The sequence below is a fragment of the Homo sapiens genome, chromosome 4 (assembly GCF_000001405.40).
Source record: "Homo sapiens chromosome 4, GRCh38.p14 Primary Assembly".
Lineage (NCBI taxonomy): Eukaryota > Metazoa > Chordata > Mammalia > Primates > Hominidae > Homo > Homo sapiens.
Window position 1 is genome coordinate 147,521,447 of NC_000004.12, and position 24,462 is coordinate 147,545,908.

Below are 24,462 nucleotides of genomic sequence, written 5' to 3' on the forward strand. Positions count from 1 at the left end.
AACACTTACATACCATAGGTGGCCACTATATAATCTTGAGATCATGGTACCTTAGACCATAAAAAGCTGAATAAACACTTATGATGTGGATTTGATTCACTAATAAATTCTCACTCTGATGTTCCCACTCCCAGCATCCCAATATCATTTCTTCTTTCATTCAAAATGTTATATTATCTAAAAATTAAAAGCATTAAATTGCACCTATTACATTGCTAATACAAGTAAAATTTTTCCTGTATTCATCAAGCTGCATATCATCAAGTTACATTTCTTTCAGAGATGTAACCATGTATTTTCATTATAATATCTAATTAAATTTTTTAGTTATAACTCTAAAATTCATGTAGAGAAAAGAAATGGGAAAATAATCATGACATTTTGAAAAAAGAACAATGTGTCCTACACACATGTTCTTCCTATATGATTTTTCTTTTTATTAAAATACAGGGTCTTGCTCTGTCACCCGGACTAGAATGCAGTGGCCTATATGGTCATTTTAAATGCTATAAAGCTACAATGTTTTAAACAATGTAATGCAAACCCATGAACACACTGACAAATCAGTGGGAAAACTCGACTCAGGTGCTGGAATACACAAGAATGTATTAATAATATAGGCTGAAATCACTTTGAATATAATCGGGGGAGGAAAGATTTATCAATAAATTATGCTATTTAGCCATCTGAGGGAAAAAGCATGTTAAAGTCTTCTGTACATATCAATAATAATATTTATAATTATTACCATTTATTGAATATTACTAAGTGTTAGGCCCTATTGAAAATACTTTACAAAAATTAGTTTAGGGCTGGGTGAGGTGGCTCATGCCTGTAATCCCAGCACTTTGTGAGGCCAAGGTGGGCAGATCACTTGAAGCCAGGAGTTCAAGACCAGGCTGCCCAACAGGTGAAACCCCATCTCTACAAATAATACAAAAATTAGCCAGGCATGCTGGTAGGCATCTATAGTCCCAGCTGCTTGGGAGGCTAAGGCACAAGAATCGCTTGAACCCGGGAGGTGGAAGTTGCAGTGAGCCGAGATTAGACAACAGCAGCTGCACTCCAGGCTGGGGGATGGAGTGAGACTCTGTCTCAAAAAAAAAAAAAAATTAGTTTATGTAACTGTGATAGTTGGTGTGTTATCTCCACTTTACAGATAGGGAAGCTGAGGTTGAAAGAGATTAACCAAGTCAGCATGGCTACTAAGTGCTGGAGCCACTAATCAAATGTTGGTAGTCTGCATTCTTAACCACTATACTCAAGCATGTAAAAACTCAAACCATTGTTGATGAAGAAAGCCAAACTCTGAATAATAGTTGAAGAGATGTATTCTGAACCAAATGTGAAGACCATGACCCGTGACACAGCCTCAGGAGGTCCCGAGAACCTGTGCCCAAGGTTGTTGAGTTACAGTTTAATTTTATACATTTTAGGGAGACAGAAGTTACAGGCAAAAACATAAATCCATACACGTAAGGTTTACAGTGGTTTGGCCTGGAAACATGGGACATCTTGAAGTGGAGGTTGGGTGAGGAGGGCAGGGTGGTGCTTCCACGTCACAGGTGGATTCAAAGATTTCCTGACTGGCATTTAGTTGAAAGAGTTAAGTTTTGTCTAAAGATTTGAAGTCAGCAAATGCTGACAAGAAGTGCTTGGGGTTAGGATAAGGGGGTTGTGGAAGCCAAGGTTCTATGTAGATGAAGCCTCCAGGTAGTATGAGAATAGATAGTAAATGCCTCTTATCAGATCTTAAAAGGTGCCAGACTCTTAGTTAAATCTCTCCTGGATCAGGAAAAGACCTGGAAATGGAAGGGAATAATCTACAGAATGTAAATTTTCTCCACAAGAGATGCCTATACAGGGCCATTTCAAAATAGGTCAAAGAAATATATTTTGGAGTGAAATACTTCTATTTCTTTCAGGGCCTTCTCTCTGTCACGTGATGCTATACTAGAGTGTGCTTGGGATTTGGTATGTCACTGCTACAGAGAGTCTGTTTTGTTGGGTGTTTGTTTTTTTTTGTTGTTGTTGTTTTTTTGTTTTTTTTGTTTTTTTTTTTGAGATGGAGTCTTGCTCTGTGGCCCAGGCTAGAGTGCAGTGGCTTGATCTCGGCTCACTGCAAGCTCCGCCTCCCAGGTTCACGCCATTCTCCTGCCTCAGCTTCCCGAGTAGCTGGGACTACAGGTGCCCACCACCACGCCCGGCTTATTTTTTGTATTTTTAGTAGAGACGGGGTTTCACCGTGTTAGCCAGGATGGTTTCGATCTCCTGATCTCGTGATCCACCCGCCTCAGCCTCCCAAAGTGCTGGGATTACAGGCATGAGCCACCGCGCCCGTCCTGTTTTGTTAGTCTTAAGATCTGTTCTAACGTTAATGCTGGCCTGTTGTGCCTAAATTCCAAAGAGAGGAAAGTATGAAGAGGCAGGTCTGACATCCCCTTCCCATCATGGCCTGAACTCGTATTTTAGGTTTCTTTGAAATCCCCTTGGCCAAGAGGAGGAGTCCATTCAGTCATTTGAGGGGCTTAGAATTTTATTTTTGTTTATACCATAAAGGAGTAGAAGAAAATAGACTATCTTTTTGATCTCTGGAAAGGGAAGGAAGACCCTTCTGAACTTTAAAAGAATGGTAGAAATGCTGGACAAAATTATAAATGTATTTTAAGATATAGTATTTTAAAACCTTTGGATTAAACATTCATAAAACTTAAAAAAAAAAAAAGTAGTAAGCTAGGAAAAATTGTCACTCCTCCCACAGGCCCAGGGTGCAGAGCTGGTTCCTCCTCACTTTTTTGTTCTGCCTCCTCTTTCTTCCTTGGGGGGATCTAGGAGCATCATGCGGAGCTTCAGTCATGCCCAGTGTTGAGTCGGGGAGATACTGGGAAAGTTAGGTCATAGATTCCTATATCTAGTGTCGGGTCACCTCACCCAATACCACCTCCTCTCTTCATCTCATGCATGAAGAAAAAGAAATAAGATGTTCCATCACGATAAATAGTTGTGTATCAAATGAAATGTGAGTCATTCTTAGTTAAAAAGAAAGGAAGGACTGAAGGAAGGAGGGAAGGAAAAGAAAGAAAAGAAAAAAAAGAAAAGAAAGTAAGAAAAAATGATGCCAAGAATCTATCTCATTAAGATTTGATCTGAGTTGTAGATCAAGGAAATGAACTATTTTAAAATTCCACTCTCACAAAAATCAGCCTTAATCCAAAAGGTCTTTCCTTGAAAATAAACTAATCATTCTTTGTTCCCTAGACACACACTTTACTATTTTTACATTTCATTTGGTATTGACCCTAAGCTTCAGGACTTGTATGTAGGGAATCTATTTGACATTTCTATTTCAAAAGCTTTCACACGAGAGAATGAATCATTCACACTTAATTCCTGAAGATAAGATTCCATTTGCTTTAACTCTTAATTTGGTTGCATTATATTCTACTACTACAAAAAAAAATAAAAATAAAAAATAAAAAACACTTTTTAAAATGAAACAAGGAATGAAAAGGGAGTTTGGAACCTGTTGCAGTTTGTGAATCCCTGCTTTCATTTTATGAGCTGAATAAATTATGGCCCAGGACAAAGAGTTCCCATGATTTTTTTACACAGTATTTTAAAAACATAATTATCTCACATTTCAGAGTTGTTTGAAAGAAAATGAGAGAAACCTTACATCCAAGTTCTATAGGATTTCTTTATTACTTCGTCAATCAATGATTACAGAATGATGTAAGATCAAAGAAAATATCTAGCTTTCTCACTATCAGCTTTTAATCTGAATAAGCTAAACAGGACTGAGAGAAAGCACATGATTTCTGCCAGAATGGATAGGCTTTCATTGCTAATTTCAACTATGGACTTGTCTCAGTTTAACCTTTTGAATAATTCCTCCGCAAATCTAGTTTCACATCCTTGGTCATTTGAGAAAAAGACAAATCAGGAACTGAAGAAATTCAGAAACAAATTTTGACCCCTATCCAGCTTTCTTGTTGAATTATCTTTTTAATTCTAAGGCAGTATACTTCTATAATGAATAAACTTTTCCCAACAAAAATGAATAACCAGCCATTACCAGCTATTAAAATAGTTATTTTTACATGCTGAAAGTGACAAGTTTTATATATTACTTTGAGTTTGTTTGGAGGCAAAAAAAAAAAAAGCAGCAGCAGGAGAGGGGTAGGAGGGATCACTGTTGATCTTTGCAAAATCGTGTTAAAGTGGAAGATGATGATGATGGGGTCAGACCAGTAAAAAGGTCTGGGTACAGATCCAACTTGTTAAAAGTTGCCTGGGGAAGAAGGCTATAAAAAGATAAAACTCTTTTAACAACTATTCCAGAGTGATGTGTTATTAGATACTTGGAAAAGTTGCAAAGATCCATTAATGAGGCAGCTTTGTTTTATATGGCTGAAAAGCTGATGTCAGTTCTTGAACCCATCATTTCAAATAATTGATCAGTGGTCTCTGTGATATTCTCAAAGGTATATCCTAACTCAAGAAACATGAAGGTGGTTTTCAGAAAAACCTCTTTGTTAGAGTTGGACTTGGTTTCTCCTTATTTTCCTGGTGTTATGGTTTTCTATTGCACCATGACAATAGTGAAGACACAGAGGAAGGGTCTGAGCCAGAAGACATGAGCAGGGAACTGGACAAAGTCCAAGGCTGGCTAGGGCAATAGGATCTTATTTGGGAGTCTGTTCACTATCGTACTGAGTTATTTGTTCTTTTATCTTATTCTATTGTCAAGATCAGGCAACTGGTTAATTTTGCTACCCCACTTCTCTTTGATAACTACCCCAAAACTTAGCAATTCAGAACAACAACCGTTTTATCATATCTCACCATGTTGAAGGTCAGGAATTTGGGCAATTCTTCTGCTCCTTGTCACGTCACCTGGGGTTGGTGGACTTCAGCTGACTCTGAGCTTGTGTCAGAGGTCCAACACTCACATGCCTGGCACCTTGGCAGGGACAGCTGGATGTCTGAGCTCAGCAGAGCCCATCTCCCCCTCCATGTAGTCTCAGGGTCCTCTCTGTTTTTGCTCCAGCAGGCTCAAGGCTCCTTTCAGAGGCCAGACCTGGAACTGCAAAACATCATTCTAGCCACACTCAATTGATCAAAGTAGTCACAGGCCAGCTCAATTTAAGAACTCAACTGAAGAAGTGGTAAAGCATTTGCAGCTGTCTTTTAATTCACCACACCTGATTCTCTTCTAAATTGGAATTGGCCAAGCAGTTGCAGTGGCTCAGCCTTAGGAGGCCGAAGCAGGAGGATGGCTTGAAGTCAGGAATTCAAGACTACCCTGGGCAACATAGCGAGATCCTTGTCTCTACAAAAAATATTTTTAAAAATTAGCCTGTCATGGTGGTGGGCACCAATAGTCCCAGCTACTAGGGAGCCTGAGATAGGAGGATCCCTTAAGGGAGTACAGGTTCTGGAGGCTACAGCTATGATTGTGCCACTGCACTTCAGCCTGGATGACAGAGTAAGACCCTATCTCTAAAAAAGAATTCTTCCTGCTAGCATTTAGCTTCCAAACCTCCATATGGTATGAGAGATATAAATCATTAACAACCATTACAAATGATCAAGTTTGCTGTTAATTAAAGATGTGCAGAGGTAAAGATAGGGGCGGCACTGTACCTTATGGAAGTGGTAAATAAGAATAAATAATAAATTCTAACACAGGCAAGCATTCATTAACAGGCACTTGGTAGAAACTTCTTTCTTAAGGCACTTCAGCCACCTATTTATTCCCTGATCCAGTAATCCCACTCAAGATAATTAATCCAGAAAAATCATTCAGAAAGAGAAAAAAAATTATGTGTACAAACAAGCTTATAGGCGTCTTATTCACAGCTGTGAAACACTAGAAATGATGTGAACATAGAAAAAAAATTCAAGTAAATTATATCAAAATCTTGTTATACTGTGTAGCCATTAAATTGATAAGGGCCACGCCCGTGTAGAAACATAGGAGAGTATTTTTAATGTAAATAAAGCTAAAATTTAAAAATTGTGAGTCATATGATTATAGTCTATTCAAACTATGCCTGTGAGAATCAAAACAAGAAAAGAATAAAAAAATAGATTTTGTTGAAGTGGTATCTTTTTAATTTGTTTTATTTTATAATGTTTTAAAGTTCTTTCAAGAATAAACATTTTTAAACTTAATGACTATCCCAGACCACACCTTCAAGATTCAATAAACATGCATTAAATGCCTCTGGCCTTAATAACATGTAAAAATCTATTTATAGGCACACGCACTAACAAACATCTTTACATGAATAAAATATATATTTTATACTTTTATTTTGGCCTATCACATGACAGGGTACAAGGTGATATAATGCAAAAAGGCTCTACCGGGAGTTGGCAGCCCTGAGCCATGGTCCAGACGCCCCAGGTTCACTGGAGACCAGGCAGAGGATGCGACAAGATGCCAGCTCTCAGGTTCCCAACTGGAACATATGGGGCAGAAAGATCAGCCCATAGATCCCTCCTTTAAATTATTGAATCTGGTCCTCTAAAAGTATTAGCTTTTAATCTGTGGCCTAATTCATGGCTAGCTTGAAAAATAGGAAAATGATCAGAATGTAGTGTGCTATTAGCTTTAGCCAATTAAGGTAAGGTAAGGTTACACAGTACATCTGTGTAAACATAACTCTTAGAATTATGCTGACTGATTCTTCACCAGAATTCCCTAGAGATTAAGAATTCCCTAGCCAATTAAGGTGAGGTAAGGTACATGCATGGTAACAGGCATGAAAACGCCAACAAAAAGACACTTCATTCAACAGGTATTTATTTGGCACTTGTTGTTCTAGGTATTGTGACCAACATACAAAATGTCAGCCTTTATGAAGCTTATATGCTTTTTTTCACTTTTTTCTTTTCTTGCTTTCTTTTTTTTTTTTTTTTTTCAGACAGGGTCTTACTCTGTCACCCAGGCTGGAGTGCAGTGCCATGATCAGGGATCGCTGCAGGCTCAACCTCCCTGGGCTCAGGGGATCCTCCCACCCCAGCCTCCCAAGGGAATATAGGCATGCACCACCATGCCTGGCTAATTGTTGTATTTTTGTAGAGATGGAATTTCACCATGTTGCCCAGGGTGTCAAGCGATCGCCCCCCTCAGCCTTCCAAAGTGCTGGGATTGCAGGCATGAACCATCGCACCCGGCTGGGAACTTACATTCTAAAGGAGAGGGGAGAGCATAGATGATAAACCAAATAAATAAATAGAACATTGTTGGTCACATTGTAGTGCTATGGGGAAAAATGAATCAGGGTGAGAGAGACAATTCTGGAGGGGGAGTTGGCAAACTTAAGTAGGGTCTCCAGGGAAGGCTTCTGTGAAAACTGCAATTGAGTAAAAACCGGAAGGAAGTGAGGAAGCAGCTCTGAGGACACCTGTAGGCATTCTCACAGGGGTGGGAAGCCACTGGGGGGTTTGGAGCAGAGGGTGCTATGGTCTGACGTAACAGCCTCACTCCAGTTGCTATGTTCTGACGTAACAGCCTCACTCCAGTTGCTATGTTCAGACGAGGCTGTGGCAAAGCAAGGTGGACATAGGAAGATCAGTTAGGAAGCTATGGCAATCATCAAGGCACTGCGATAACAGGTACGATGGTGAAAAGTGGTTGCATTTGGATATATCTTGAAGGAAGTTGTTGCAAGATTTGCTGAAGGATTGGATGTGTGGTGGAAGAGGAGTGAAATCTAACCCAATGTTTGGGGCCAGAGATGGGAACAACTGCAGAAAGGTTTAGCCACAAGGAAGACAAGGAGTCTGATTTGGGAGTGTTTAGATGCCTGTTAGGTGTCCTAGTGGAGCTCGCAAGTAGGCAGTTGGAGGTACAAGTCTAGAGTTAAAGGTGAGGCACCAGGCTAGAGGTATAAATTTAGGAATTACCGCTAGATGGATAGTTAAATGACATTAAAGCCACGAGACTAGATGAGATCACCAAAGGAGAGCGCATAGACAGAAAAAACGTCTGAGCACTAAGCCCTCAGACAAATCCAATACTAAGAATTTGTGGAGAAAGCGGGGTCCAGCCAGGTAAATGAGAAGGAATGGCCAGTAAGTCAGAAGGAAAACTGGGAGATTGTGGTGGAAATCAAGTGAAGAAAGCATTTCAGAGAGGAGGGATTCTTTCTGGAACAGCAGTTGTCAGTGGTGGAATCTACACTTGCAGATTTTCCATGACAACTGAAGATGTCATGGATATACAGAGAGAGATGTATATACATACTGACTAGATGGAAGGCTATTTATAATCGCACCTCATGAGAAAAGCATATTTGTGTGTCAGTGTGTTGTGCCATTATATTCAAAATAGAAATCAGTTTTGAAACATCCAGTGTTTCATGGTTTCCATACATTTCCCCACCTCCATTATCACAAATGATTGTTCCTAATTGTTCTTATGGCTGTTTTCCCCTTATCTCATGGAGATGTTATCGAGATCTGTGTGATTATAAATGGAAAATATTCTAATTTTCAGTGAGTGGGTTAATGAAGGAGCAGACTGATCATGAATTATTTGCTAAACTAGACTCTAAAAATGACTTCTACTTATTTGTGAATGTTGAATTTACATTGGATTATGGATGTGTAATATTCTGGGAACTCATGGCGCTTTATAAAAATGAAGTTGGTCTGTGAACATGTTCATCATAAGAACATGTTGACCACATTTTATTCCTTAAGCCACTTTTCACCCCAAATCCTGGCAAGGAAATCAGGTTTTCTTACTCTCTAATGAAACAGGGTGTTTTATTTAAATCACCTTCCCTGGTAAACAACCTGAGAGAAGGGAAGAAGAAATAGATGTAACTCCGTTGACAGCCTTGGGATATAGACATCCTGTCTCCATTCCTCTTAGCTTTACTGGGTATCAGGCTGCCAGTTTAACAAGGGAACAAAGAAAAATAAACAATGATTTTTATCCCACTGGACAATTTATGGAAATAACCATAAATTTTAAAATTCAATCTTGATTATATCATAAAAGGATTTTCTTGGTCTGTTTGCATAGCTGTATTTTATCCCATTTTGAAATAATCTGGACTTTTTTGAGATTTGTATTGTACACAAATCTTATTTACCCTAAAAATCTTTTATAAAACATTTCTCCAGTAAATTGTGCTATATAATATGCCATGTGGCATCATCGTAAAATACCCAAATCTGTACATGCTCATCTCTAGGGAATTCTGGTGAAGAAACAGTCAACATAATTCTAAGAGTTGTGTTTTCACAGATGTACTGTGTAAATGTACTGAGACAGTACACTAAATATAACTGATGGGGGCTTGTCTTGGTGGATATGGGTAGCTTGTATGTTGCCTTGGCTTTATTGATTAATCTTCTACATTACTTTGCATGTCCTGCAAACCCATGAGCACCTGTCTCCAATGCATTCGGTCTGTTTTACAGCCTTCTGGCACTATCTAATGAAAACTATAAAACGAAAATGTTTCTTTTCCATTACGGCAGCAACAAAAATTTCAGGAATGAGGCCACAAAAATACCATACCACGTCACAGGTCTCTTCTTAATAGTAAGTCTAAAAGCAGTTAGCATTAGACCTTCACATCAGGTCAAAGAACATAGAATTTCTAAACCAAACCTTCCTTAGACATAACATTTAAATGTGATTATTATCACTAAAATAGTGAAGTAAAAAATAGGGTGAGCATAATTTCTTATTATCAGACAGTTTTTTGATTGACATAATCATTCAGTCACATTTATGTTATATACTCTGTTTGAACCATTCTTTTCTGTTAGATTGTAAACCCTAAAGATTAGGAACCAAAGTATCTTTAAATAAGTTTTATCTGCTCTAGCACAGGGCCATAATGGGAGTGATATAATCCCTCTTTGACATTTACCACAAATAGGTATTTACTAAAACTGCCACCTGGTACAAGCCCACTGTGCTCACATAAGAAGGGAGGAAACAATGGAATATCTGTGGTGGTTATTCACTCAAGGATATCTAGACCCACTTCATAGATAATGCTTTAAGGTTTCTTTTTTTATTTTATAAAGAGGAATAACATATTACTATAACAAGTACCAGCAGCTTTCATGATCCCTCCCATCCATCCAATTTCTCCCCCAGCTTAAAAAACATAGGCACAACTGTCTGTTACCGCCACATTCTAAACTCTCCTAAGATTTCTCTAGACCAAATAAAGACCTCAGACTCAGGCCTGCCACGCAGTTGATTTCCAAATGGGTGGAACTCTTAAAAGCCCCACTTGTGGCCGGGTGTGGTGGCTCACGCCTGTAATCCCAACACTTTGGGAGGCCAAGGCGGTCAGATCACAAGATCAGGAGATCGAGACCATCCTGGCTAACACGGTGAAACCCCATCTCTACTAAAAATACAAAAACAAAATTAGCCGGGTGTGGTGGCGGGTGCCTGTAGTCCCAGCTACTCGGGAGGCTGAGGCAGGAGAATGGCGTGAACCTGGGAGGCGGAGCTTGCAGTGAGCTGAGATCCTGCCGCTGAACTCCAGCCTGGCAGCCTGGGTGACAGAACAAGACTCAGTCTCAAAAAAAAAAAAAGGCCAGGTGCAGTGGCTCACTCCTGTAATCCCAGCACTTTGGGAGGCCGAGGCAGACGGATCACGAGGTCAGGAGATCGAGACCATCCTGGCTAGCACGGTGAAACCCCGTCTCTACTAAAAAAAAAAAAAAAAAAATACAAAAAATTAGCCGGGCGTGGTGGCAGGCGCCTGTAGTCCCAGCTACTCGGGAGGCTGAGGCAGGAGAATGGCGTGAACCTGGGAGGCGGAGCTTGCAGTGAGCCGAGATGGTGCCACTGCACTCCAGTCTGAGCAACAGAGCGAGATTTTGCCTCAAAAAAAAAAAAAAAAAAAAAAAAACCCACTTGGTTTTCATACCAAGACTCAGAAAATTCCTAAAAAGACAATTACTGGTATTGGCAATGAGGAGGAACTTCCCAGCACTTACAATTTTTGTTTAATTGAAATACATTTAAAATTTCCTAACAACTTGGTTCCATTACCCTTTTTTTCAGGTACAGAGCAGTTGCCTCCTGGAGTCGTGTTCAGGGAATTGGGATTCCTTTGGTAACTGCCATTGAAATTGTCTCCATCTGGATCCTGTCCTTTATCCTGGCCATTCCTGAAGCGATTGGCTTCGTCATGGTACCCTTTGAATATAGGGGTGAACAGCATAAAACCTGTATGCTCAATGCCACATCAAAATTCATGGAGGTACTAAACGTTTAAAAGGAATTAACTGGGGAAGGGAGGAGGTCCTCCGTTAGACTTCACCATCTTGAGACTTGATGACATCGCCACAATGTCAAGTGTGGTTTCTTCTGTCAAATATTCCTCAGTTGCATGAAAAGTAGATGTTAAACCTGTGTCTAGATTCTTGAATAGAACAGTTATGCTGGCTTTCACTCTTGTATTATACCACAATGGTAGACATATCTGTTATTCTGCACCAAACCACTAAGAATACCAAAGCAAATTTACTAAGAGGGACTAGATGTGTGTGTGTGTGTGTGTATGTGTGTGTGTGTGTGTGTGTATATATATATATACATATGCTATTTGTTTTTATAATAATGAATACAACACAACAATTTCCATCTGGAAGACGTGCTGATGTTTATCTTATGTCACTTGGGGAGAAGCACATTTCTCACATTCTTTAAAGATGGATTTACTAATTCAAAGTAGAGAGTAGTACTTACATGTACTTATATTAGTACGGTTTCTATGTCTAATATACAAATAATATAAAATTGTAGAACTTCTTAAAATAATATTTTGGTTTAACAAATTCAGTTGTTGGTTTTTTTAGTACACCTGACCATATTAATGTTTTTCTGAAAAGCTTAATCACATGACTGTTTTGGGAAACCTATTTAAAATGCATCTTTTCTTTGCAAAACTAGTTACATGTGGACTGAGGAGGAAAACCAAAAGGATAACTATTTCTCTTAAATCAGTATAATTTAGTGCTTTGATGTAAGTTTCATGTAGCTCACATTCCACATGTAATTATTTACAGACATCTCAAGGTATGCTTTCCCAACTTGGAAAATTCACAGAATTCGTGGTTTTACAGTTGACCAGTTATCCTGCTTGGAAATTCTTGTTTTAAAATTAAAAGTGCTCATGAAAACTGCCAAACTAACAACTTAAAATTGAAGTTTCTTACTGGGTTAGTCTTCAAAGTGAAAAACAAAGTAGACAGTAGGAGATTGTCAGAATTTGGGCTGTGTGAATAAGCAATCTAGATATTCCAGATGCAAACATTAGAGAAAAGAGGTTCACTATAAGAAGGAGCTTACTAATCCTTACAGCCAGACAAAATGAAATGGGCTGTTTCATAAAGACTGTCTCCTATCTAGACGTGTTCAAGTAAAGGGTAGCTACCCTTCAGGCATGGGTGGGCTAGACGGTTGCAGTAAAGGGTATGAGTTGAACAGATAATTTTTTAGAGTTCATTCCAAGTCTGAAGTCCTGTTCTCTTTTTCTAAATTTATTTCCCCTATTTTTTCCATTCTTGCTCTTCAACTTTACCCTAGACTGATGGTAGGCCCCTCTCTACCCATGTTGATGACATCAGTTCCAAAGAGATGCATTACCCATTTCTCTGTGGGCCTTTGCCATGGAGGGGGCAGGGGACTCCATTCAGCCCTCTCAAGGGTCAGCCTCTAGACCCTCTGCAGCTGTTTCTGCATCATTTATACCCAGCCAGCAAATGCACCCGGAAAAAGAGGATACAAAAGAAGGGAGAATGGGTGCTCAAAGGAGTGTTCGTGTTGCACTTCAAAAAAGAGAGAGAGAGTGCTTCTGACTTTTTTTAAGTTCAGGACTGAAATCTTTCTACAGTGTGTTGGGAACAGGGAAATGTTTGTGTAAGCAGTTTAGAATAAACCAACTCCTTTGGGAGTTTGCACTTAACCTGAGGATAGAATTCAGGGATCTGTGAACTTGGTTGGAAAAGAAACAACATGTTTATTTTCACTAACTTCTAACTGAATTTATTATTTCCTTCTATTATGAATGTACCCAACAAATCACCATAGTGTTTACCAGTATCATGACTTTTTCAGTAATAAAAATAGCAGACATTTTCATACGATATAACACTTGTATAATCTCAAAATATTATTTATGCTCTTCAGAACTTCAACACTTCAACAGTTCGGTAGTTATTAGAACCATCACTAGGTTTGTTATTTGTGAATAAACACAATATTACTATATCTAAATTTAATTTCTAATATTTTGATAGCTGTGCTTTAATGTAATTGGTTTCCATTGCAATCTTATGTATTTTATTTTATGCATGTAAAAGTATTATTCTCAGAAGGGATTATAGTCTTTACCAGACTTCCAAAAGGGTCTGTGGCATAAAAATAGTCAAGAACTCCTCCCCCAAATTTTTTGTCTTTAGGAACCATTTTTAGATTATTTTAATAGCCATGTTATAAATGCAGCCTTCTTAGCCTCTTTCTATATTCAGAAACTGTCCCATTTTTTACAGAGCAACATGATTATTTTTTACTGTGGGAACTGCATTGTCCTTAGTAAATTAACAATCTGAAGAAGCACTATAAGGAAAGAAAAAGCATTTCGTCCCAAGTTGGTGATTAATTTTGTGGGAAGAAGAATTTAGATATCATTTTTCATTTTCCATTTTTATAGGGTATTAAGTTTTCTTCTTTAAGCAGAAGTAAAACCGAATAATCTCGGTATTTATAAATCCTGCCCAGTTAGATAATACCAGATATGCTTCAGTTGAGATATGCTGCCTCAATAGTTTCCAGGTGGTAAGTATTAAAGGAGGGAGAAGAGTATAGCTATTGAAGTTCAAAGCGGCTGGCTTTAAGGTCACATAGCAGGCATACCAGGCAGAGGGTTAACCCCTATTAACCAAAGCTACACAGATAAGCCATTCGTAACCTTCACCGTTTCAGGTTAAATACACTTTCACCACAATAGTCAAAAGTAAAGCAGGCGCTAACAAAATTTTGAGGTTCATCCAGAAATAAAGATAAACATGTATATTCTTTTGTCTCAAAATCATGTTTTATGAGCTTTAGAAGGACATTATTTTTATTGATTAGGGCTCTTCCGTTGTGTAGTTGAAACCTTCAATCTATGAAAAGTATCAAGTATCCTTGTCAAGATAATTTTTGTAAGTGCAGTTTCTTTATGTGCTGTTTAAAGCCAGGATAATTTCTGAAGCTTCCAACTGAATTGAGTTTTGAGCCCCACTCCCAAACCCATCACTGCAACCAGAGAGCATGATTTTACAGATGTATCTGCAAGTTTAAAGACCTTAAAGCTACCAGAGGCACAGCATGGTTAATTGACATGACTCTGCTCCTCCTTTTCTCTTTTTTTTTTTTTCACTTTGAAGTTCTACCAAGATGTAAAGGACTGGTGGCTCTTCGGGTTCTATTTCTGTATGCCCTTGGTGTGCACTGCGATCTTCTACACCCTCATGACTTGTGAGATGTTGAACAGAAGGAATGGCAGCTTGAGAATTGCCCTCAGTGAACATCTTAAGCAGGTAAATCCCATAACATCATGAAAATCTGGCCAGGACTGGTTAGTCCTTGACAGCAGCAGGCCTGCAAATACCATCTTTAGTAGAATTAGCCTGATTTCCTAAAATAAAAATACTATCCTGTAACTGTTTTCTTTATAGTAATAGTGTTAGAAATTTCTTTTGTAAAATGGGAAACCTGCTTGTAAAACAAGTGGTCCTGAAGGCTGGGCCCAAATAGAGAAGAACTATCCCTCTATTTTGCCAAGAGTGTACTGAGCATGTGTGTATGTGAGTTCGTGCATTCAATTGGGCTTGAAACTGTACCAGGACACAAAAAAGCATGTAACTTTCTCCCCATGCAGATTTACAGTCTTGTTGTAGAAATAAAATATGCATGCAAAACAACTGGAATATAGAACCACAGGTGTGGTAAAAGTAGCCTGTGCTATGGAAAGCCAGGAAGGGTATGAGATAGAGTCATGGGGAAGCTGTTCATGGATGAGGGGGATTGAACCAGACCTTGGAGGATAAGTGGGATTTGATGGGGAAGAAGTTGACAGAGAGCATTTCAGGTGGAAGAACAGGAGTCTAGTTAGAACGTGGAATAGGAACCATGCATTTGGGGAATGGGAAAAAGGAGATGAACCTCTCTAGAGCAATGTCTAATGTGAGACTTATGCTAGGAAATGGGATCATGTACATTAGAAGAGGTAAAGTGTTGGAGGACCCAAAGTTCTAGAAGGAATTTGAACATGTCAATAGGAGGCTAATGTTGGTCCCTCCTGGGTGAAATTAGAACAGATAAAGCTGTGGGCTTTCAAGGGCAAAACTAGACTCATACTTGGCTCTCTGACCTTGGGCAAATTGCTTAATCTCTCTGAACTTCTAGTTTCTCATAATATGTATGTAATAATACATCATGGGGATTACCTGAGACATATAAGGTGCCTAATAGTACCCAGCTCCTAGTAGGTATTAAGCAAATGTTAATTTACATTAATTCTAAGAGGAAACCTAGGACTTCAGGTAAGTTCCCTGTTGCAACAGAAAAGTATATAATGGTGGCCAACTACACCAAAAGTTAATGTGAGTTGTTGATGGAGTCTGTAAATCTGTCCTATATAATTACCATGTGCAAGCATAGTTCCTCATCAGCAACTCTTCAACTACTATACTGATTTTTCTGAGCTTCAGCTTTTCATCTGTAAATTGGGCATAATATATGAATCAATAGTATTATGAGGATCAAAAGGATGAATGTGTATGCATGTACTTTATAAAATCTAACATGCCATACAAATGGTAGCTATTATCTTTCATTGACATTTAGCAAGAAGATTACATTGAGAAACCTTAGTATGACTTTGTTCAGGCATGAAAGTTTCAAATACTCCAATTGCTTAATATGTTTACAATTATTTCCTCTCATTCTTGGAATGGAGGTAGTTAGTATGGGTTTGTGAAAAACAGTGTTTTAAAATATGGATTTTTGCATTCGCACCATGATTGAGCCTGTTTAAGCTATGAGTGGTATTTGCTGTGGAAATAATTAAATAGTTAATTATTTAATTTTGGAATAATATTAATTATTTAATTGTGGAAAGAAATAATTGTCATATGCTGCTTCATGTTTACACAGCATTTTTTAAGTTTTTAAAGTGCATTTCCATTTCCATGTCTTTTTCTTATTTGATTCCTCCAAGCACCCTCTGAGATCAGTAGGATATATATTCTTTATTATACAGGTGATTTAGAGGTTTGCTCAACCAAATGGAGATTAGAACCCAAGATTTTGTCCTCATGCAGTTAACGTTCCTTTTGGTGCCACTCAAATCTGTAGCAAATCCTAAGTACAGAAGAGCAAGTGTGGCTGAAAGTCCTGCAGATGGGACTGCGGGAGAAACAGCATAGAGCACAAAACCTTGCCATCTTGACTAATACTCTGTGGGGCTCATAGTTTTGCTTCTTGCTTGGTTGTCTCTAATTTCTCCTCATCATAATGATGACAGTTTTATCAAGTAGGGGTTGTGTTCGGATGCTGGGAACACAAAACCCAAAATAACTGTTAGTTGACCAAGAAGGAGTTTATCTTTCTCCCATAGCAAAAAGTTCAGACATCAAGATTTAGTGGTCAAGCCAAGTTAGAGGCCAGGTATCTACTGTTTTGCTGATCTTTGCTTCAGTCTCAGGAGACTGTAGCAGCAGCTCTACTTTTATATCTGATTTCCAAGCAGCAAGAGGGGAAGAACAGAAAACAACCCGTCATGGGTGTGCATCAAAAGAGTGTCCCTATACTTCTCAGTAGCTCTTCCGGAAACCCATGCAATGGTTTCTATTTCATCTAACGGGTCAAAACCCTGCCAAGTGGCCATGTAGATAATTAGGCCAGGTTCCCCAGCTGCCTTAACAAATCAAGACCAGAGTGATGGTAAGGAAGACAGGAGAATGGATATTGGTTAAGCAAATATCAGACTATCATGGCAGTGTACTAATACTGCTTTTAAAAGCGTTATCCTCTTTGAGTATGCACTCAGGAAAGGTAACCTCTCCCCTAATACACTGCTTTTCTATTTTTCTGGGCACACTGTCTTTCTGGACACACAAAATGACCCTTTTAAAAAGAGCCCCCATTCCTGAAGATTTGAATATTTTATTTCTTCCCTCAGTCATTACTCCGGAGCCATATCCCAGCTAGCCCAATAACTATGAGAGGTTAAAGAACTCCCAGTTCCTTTAGCTAGAGTAGCGAGTTATGAAAACTGCCCCAGAATATTTTGAATGGCTCAGCCAATCATGTGAGTTTATTGTAGGCTTCCCGGACTTAATGTTATATGTTTCAGGTTGAGCCAGCATTACCCTTCCAGACCCTGTTTTTAATCAGTTTTATTTTGACATTAACTGATCCCAGTTACAGACAAGTTGCATTTTGTGTTCCTAGTCAGGCTTCTAAATGCATGCAATATAATACTCAAATAATGCACACCAATGAATGGTTGCAGATAATTCCTAATTTATAGATTTTCTGATCCTGAGCAGACTGAAAGGCATGCAAACCTTCCATGAAGTCCGTCCAAGGTCAGCATGTTTCAGATTTTCTAGTCATCACTGCTGATAATCCTTTACCCTCATCCTTCTGCTTGCAAACAACATATAATATTTTTATATGTCATTAAGAAACTACATGTCATTAAGAAAAGAATTTAAAGAGCAAAAAATCCCAATAATAGCTATGTTCAAGATCAGGAAAAGGAAAAAACATAGTGCTATGACTTTTCCTTTTCTACTCCCCACTCCTATTTTGTTTTCTCCAGGTCTTTGTTGATTTGTCCATGCAATATCATGTGATGTTCAGTCTCCTTGCCTTCCATGCCATCATTAATGCTAATTAGTTACCTGTTATTAAGAGTCATTAGCTAACCCTTTCCCCCATGCAGTCACACTCCACCCCACTACACACACACACAGGCAGACTCAGCCACCTACACACACACAGCTGCAGACTCAGCTGGCTCACCTCCAGCCAGTTTCCACCTCTCTCCTGGCATATAACCTCCGTCCTGGCCCTAATAACCAACCTGAGGCCCCCATCCTTCCTGGAAGCTGCCCAGAAGCATCATTAGCAATTCCTTCGTTAGAACACTGACCTTAGAATCTTGAAGAGGTAGAGGCAGTGTAAGCCAGGCTGTTCTCCTGGCTCTTCTTTGAATTATTCTTTCTCTGGTGTCTGCTACTTCTTGGTACTGTAGTTCTTGCATCTAGTATAAAAACACTAAATTTGTTGTCCTATTTTTTTCTCACTTTCCTTTAGCGTCGAGAAGTGGCAAAAACAGTTTTCTGCTTGGTTGTAATTTTTGCTCTTTGCTGGTTCCCTCTTCATTTAAGCCGTATATTGAAGAAAACTGTGTATAACGAGATGGACAAGAACCGATGTGAATTACTTAGGTATGATCCTGTGTACTCGCTAGAAAATTGGAGTTTCTCAGATTTTCATATTTATAATACTTTTACAAAACCAGCTACTCTACATGCCCGTTAGCCCTGAAAATTAAAACTGCAAAGTTGATTTTTTTCTTTAGCTGACATAGCCTATAACTGATCCCAAAATGTGTGCAAGCCACATCTGTTATCTTGCCCCTCCCCTCCTGAGGCTGTGCATAAGGGTTTGAGCTAACCAACTAGTGATGTATCTGTAACTGTCCTGCAAAACTGAAACTGCCGTTTAAACAAGCACTTTTTACAAAATTCTAACTGCCACCCATACGAAATGGCTTCTGGGCAAGAAAAATGCTTATTCTAGGAAGAAATGCTAGTGAGCAGATTTTAAAACAATATATTCTAATTATTCTACACCATTTTCTTTTGCTCTAGTTTCTTACTGCTCATGGATTACATCGGTATTAACTTGGCAACCATGAATTCATGTATAAACCCCATAGCTCTGTATTTTGTGAGCAAGAAATTTAAAAATTGTTTCCAGGTAAGATGATTTTTCAAGTATTTTTTAAAGACAACAAAATGAGTATATTAAACAGTCAACAGACACAGCCAATTCCAGTTGTAATATTACTTTGATCAGCTATACTACTTTTTAGCAGTGAAGTGAAAATCATGTTTTATTACCCAGAAAGAGAGTCAGATTGTCGGCATAACAGAAAAGCAGTTCCTATTTAGACAACCACATACAAAGAGGTTAAAATCAAAAGGACTAAATCACATGCCAGTTTAGAACCCTCCTTTAGAGAGAAATGTTTCAATGTATGCTCCAGGCCACAGAGAGTACATAAGACCTATTCATACCTTACTTTGTCTTAGACTTGAACCAAAGTCTTGACAAAATATAAGCTCTATTGTTAAGAAAGCGCTCACTGATCGAGACCATCCTGGCCAACATGGTGAAACCCTGTCTCTACTAAAAATACAAAAATTAGCCAGGCATGGTGGCGGGCACCTGCAGTCCCAGCTACTCGGAGAATGGCGTGAACCCAAGAGGTGGAGCTTGCAGTGAGCCGAGATAGCGCCACTGCACTCCAGCCTGGGCGACAGAGCCAGACTCAGTCTCAAAAAAAAAAAAAAAAAAAAAAAAAAAAGAAAGGTCTCACTAAATGCTGTTTAATTGTGTACTTAGTAATAGAATCTTCAAGGAAAGTAAATGCTTATTGCTGTGGGAATCTGAACAAATATAATTTTATTCAAAATCAGTTTCCTTCTGCTTTCAAACCTCCAGCCAGCTCAGCCACCCATGTCCTTCAGAAGCTCTAAGCCTGTCTTATTGATGTGTAATTTTCTGGTTCCTGAAATCATTTTAGCATAGGCTTAATCCTCACTGGATTTTGTTATCTTGGACCAGGCTGTTTAACTTTAGCTTATGGTACATATGAGGCAGAGTGCGGTAGAGGTCAAGAATGCAGGCTCTGGAAGCAAAGAGCCTCGATGGACATTACAGCCCTGCACTTGCTAACTATCTACCCCAGGTAGTGCCTCTCTTGCTTTTTCAGTTTCCTCACCTATAAAATTGGATGATCACAGTATCTCTCTCATAAGGAGGGTAATATATGTAAAATGCTTGAAATAATAAGTGCTCAATATGAGTTGATTACTATTAGGGACAGAGTAGAGAGGAAAAACACAGTAACGACCTGCATGGAACTTACAGTCTAAACAGAGGCAGACATATATTAACCAAGGAATCACACAAACAGATGAAACTCGGTATGGAAGTTTGGGGCCGTATTTCTGAGGTCTTCTTGGAAATGTTTGCCAGTCACAAAACACTCAGCCCAAAATGGATTGACTAACATGCAGGTTAAAATTAGTACATTATATAAGGTGAAATTAATTATTACTTACTCATTAATTTACATATTCATTGGGGGAGGGAAAATCAAGGTAAAAATTATCAGAAATTAACCCCACTTTTTGATGAATCTTCCTAAAAAGGCAGTATATCCAAGAGAAAGAGCCCAAATCTAGAGAGTCCTGGGTTCTAATTCCAGTTCTAACTCTCATTATCCTCTCTGGACCTCACTGTCCTCATTCATAAAATGGGGGAATAGCATAAAATGGGAGAACATCCAAGGCTGTTGTGAGGATCTGATAAGGTACCTGGTGCGGAGAGCCACACAGGTGGTGCACACTGAAGAAACGCTAGGACCCCCCCACCAGCCCAGCCCTACCCGTGCCTGCCCCAAGCTGTGGAGAGCCCTTCCTCTCACCTACAGTGCCTTCCCTTTCTCTTGCACTTGGTAATAAAATTAAAATGAGAAACAAGGGTTCTATTTCTCTGCACTGGAATGGACAGTGTAACTCCTGCCTGGTGATAACAGGCTCTCCACTCTAGGTTACTGTCAAGGTTCACTTCCCTCGAATGCGAATGGACATTTGCCCCTCATTAGCATGGCCCAGGGCCGCTGTGTTTGGCCGGGAATGGGCTGGTAGGCTCGCCTTACTTCGAGTCTGTTCCTTCCCCCAGTCATGCCTCTGCTGCTGCTGTTACCAGTCCAAAAGTCTGATGACCTCGGTCCCCATGAACGGAACAAGCATCCAGTGGAAGAACCACGATCAAAACAACCACAACACAGACCGGAGCAGCCATAAGGACAGCATGAACTGACCACCCTTAGAAGCACTCCTCGGTACTCCCATAATCCTCTCGGAGAAAAAAATCACAAGGCAACTGTGAGTCCGGGAATCTCTTCTCTGATCCTTCTTCCTTAATTCACTCCCACACCCAAGAAGAAATGCTTTCCAAAACCGCAAGGGTAGACTGGTTTATCCACCCACAACATCTACGAATCGTACTTCTTTAATTGATCTAATTTACATATTCTGCGTGTTGTATTCAGCACTAAAAAATGGTGGGAGCTGGGGGAGAATGAAGACTGTTAAATGAAACCAGAAGGATATTTACTACTTTTGCATGAAAATAGAGCTTTCAAGTACATGGCTAGCTTTTATGGCAGTTCTGGTGAATGTTCAATGGGAACTGGTCACCATGAAACTTTAGAGATTAACGACAAGATTTTCTACTTTTTTTAAGTGATTTTTTTGTCCTTCAGCCAAACACAATATGGGCTCAAGTCACTTTTATTTGAAATGTCATTTGGTGCCAGTATTTTTTAACTGCATAATAGCCTAACATGATTATTTGAACTTATTTACACATAGTTTGAAAAAAAAAAGACAAAAATAGTATTCAGGTGAGCAATTAGATTAGTATTTTCCACGTCACTGTTTATTTTTTTAAAACACAAATTCTAAAGCTACAACAAATACTACAGGCCCTTAAAGCACAGTCTGATGACACATTTGGCAGTTTAATAGATGTTACTCAAAGAATTTTTTAAGAACTGTATTTTATTTTTTAAATGGTGTTTTATTACAAGGGACCTTGAACATGTTTTGTATGTTAAATTCAAAAGTAATGCTTCAATCAGATAGTTCTTTTTCACAAGTTCAATCTGTTTTTCATGTAAATTTTGTATGAAAAATCAATGTCAAGTACCAAAATGTTAATGTATGTGTCATTTAACTCTGCCTGAGACTTTCAGTGCACTGTATATAGAAGTCTAAAACACACCTAAGAGAAAAAGATCGAATTTTTCAGATGATTCAGAAATTTTCATTCAGGTATTTGTAATAGTGACATATATATGTATATACATATCACCTCCTATTCTCTTAATTTTTCTTAAAATGTTAACTGGCAGTAAGTCTTTTTTGATCATTCCCTTTTCCATATAGGAAACATAATTTTGAAGTGGCCAGATGAGTTTATCATGTCAGTGAAAAATAATTACCCACAAATGCCACCAGAACTTACGATTCTTCACTTCTTGGGGTTTTCAGTATGAACCTAACTCCCCACCCCAACATCTCCCTCCCACATTGTCACCATTTCAAAGGGCCCACAGTGACTTTTGCTGGGCATTTTCCCAGATGTTTACAGACTGTGAGTACAGCAGAAAATCTTTTACTAGTGTGTGTGTGTATATATATAAACAATTGTAAATTTCTTTTAGCCCATTTTTCTAGACTGTCTCTGTGGAATATATTTGTGTGTGTGATATATGCATGTGTGTGATGGTATGTATGGATTTAATCTAATCTAATAATTGTGCCCCGCAGTTGTGCCAAAGTGCATAGTCTGAGTAAAATCTAGGTGATTGTTCATCATGACAACCTGCCTCAGTCCATTTTAACCTGTAGCAACCTTCTGCATTCATAAATCTTGTAATCATGTTACCATTACAAATGGGATATAAGAGGCAGCGTGAAAGCAGATGAGCTGTGGACTAGCAATATAGGGTTTTGTTTGGTTGGTTGGTTTGATAAAGCAGTATTTGGGGTCATATTGTTTCCTGTGCTGGAGCAAAAGTCATTACACTTTGAAGTATTATATTGTTCTTATCCTCAATTCAATGTGGTGATGAAATTGCCAGGTTGTCTGATATTTCTTTCAGACTTCGCCAGACAGATTGCTGATAATAAATTAGGTAAGATAATTTGTTGGGCCATATTTTAGGACAGGTAAAATAACATCAGGTTCCAGTTGCTTGAATTGCAAGGCTAAGAAGTACTGCCCTTTTGTGTGTTAGCAGTCAAATCTATTATTCCACTGGCGCATCATATGCAGTGATATATGCCTATAATATAAGCCATAGGTTCACACCATTTTGTTTAGACAATTGTCTTTTTTTCAAGATGCTTTGTTTCTTTCATATGAAAAAAATGCATTTTATAAATTCAGAAAGTCATAGATTTCTGAAGGCGTCAACGTGCATTTTATTTATGGACTGGTAAGTAACTGTGGTTTACTAGCAGGAATATTTCCAATTTCTACCTTTACTACATCTTTTCAACAAGTAACTTTGTAGAAATGAGCCAGAAGCCAAGGCCCTGAGTTGGCAGTGGCCCATAAGTGTAAAATAAAAGTTTACAGAAACCTTGCAAGTGTCTCTTCATTTTTATGTAGTTTTCCATAGAAAATGTTTGTTACATAATGCCTGTTGCAAACCTCTCCTTAGTAATATCCTGGAAAGCAGTTTACTATCAAACAGGTACTTCCTACCTCTATTCTCAACCAACCTATTTTGTTGTACTGAGCATTTAACTCTGTCATTCATTCCTTCATTTACCTTTTCAGTAAGTTTAATTGGGCATCTACTATGCACCAGGCATTCTTCCAGATATTGGGGACATAGTAAACAAAACAGGCAAAGTCCCTGATTCCATGGAGCTTGCATTCTAGGCAATAAACAGTTACAGTCAATAAGCAATATATTAGGTAGATATCTGGAGGAAAAGATTCATATATATCCAACTGTTTACTTGACATCCACAGTTGGATGGCTAGTACACCATAATATATGCAGAATGAAGCTCCTGATATCTTCCAGCTTACCCTGCCTAATATTCCTCTGCTCAGTTATAGACAGTCCCATTTTTTAGGAGTTGTTCAGGATAAAAACTTTGAAGTCATTGCTCATTCCTTTTCCTCACACCTTTTAGCCAACATCTCCATAAGTCCTGAGAGCCCTATCTTCAGAATATATCCAGAACCTGACCACTTCTCTGTCTCTGCCTCTACCTCCCTAGTCTGAGCACCATCTTCTCTTGCCAGGATAACCACAATAGGCTCCTGACATGCCTACTCATGTCCAGCCTTATAAACAGCTGTATTCCAGTTGGAGCCAGTCTCTCCTCTCCCATAAGTGATTAGGTTAGGCGAGGCTGACCAGCATCCTCTGGGAGTTTCTCAGTAAGAACTAAGTCAGATAGAGCTATTTTCCTACTAAAGCAGGACTGGGAAGTTGTGAGCCTGGGCGTGCCTGGACGCTGTGGTTGAGCATTACGAAGAAAGTCAATCTAGAGTGTCATGAAGATGAAGAAGAGCATCAAAGT

The 24,462-nt window shown here is 38.8% G+C and overlaps 1 protein-coding gene and 1 long non-coding RNA gene across 7 annotated transcripts in view; one reads left to right on the forward strand and one right to left on the reverse strand.

Moving 5' to 3' along the window:
- The window catches only part of EDNRA (endothelin receptor type A), a 63,858-nt gene extending 40,350 nt beyond the window's left edge, over positions 1 to 23,508 (forward strand). For 3 of the 6 annotated variants that reach the window (NR_045958.2, NR_148964.2, NM_001166055.2), the window contains 4 exons: positions 14,431 to 14,583; positions 18,371 to 18,504; positions 18,931 to 19,039; positions 21,032 to 23,508. Coding sequence is in view for 3 of the 6 variants with exons in the window: in NM_001166055.2 (NP_001159527.1) it covers positions 14,431 to 14,583; positions 18,371 to 18,504; positions 18,931 to 19,039; positions 21,032 to 21,172 (537 nt within the window). In the remaining 3 variants the exon portion in view is untranslated. Of the gene's footprint in view, positions 1 to 5,050; positions 6,105 to 11,059; positions 11,259 to 14,430; positions 14,584 to 18,370; positions 18,505 to 18,930; positions 19,040 to 21,031 lie in introns of those variants that run through there. The other 3 variants (NR_148963.2, NM_001957.4, NM_001354797.2) reach the window with 2 other exon arrangements.
- Positions 3,684 to 18,372, reverse strand: LOC124900795 (uncharacterized). The gene is made up of 2 exons (XR_007058311.1): positions 18,207 to 18,372; positions 3,684 to 5,086 (listed from the first exon to the last, which is right to left on the reverse strand). It is a non-coding gene; the product is annotated as an uncharacterized LOC124900795 (long non-coding RNA).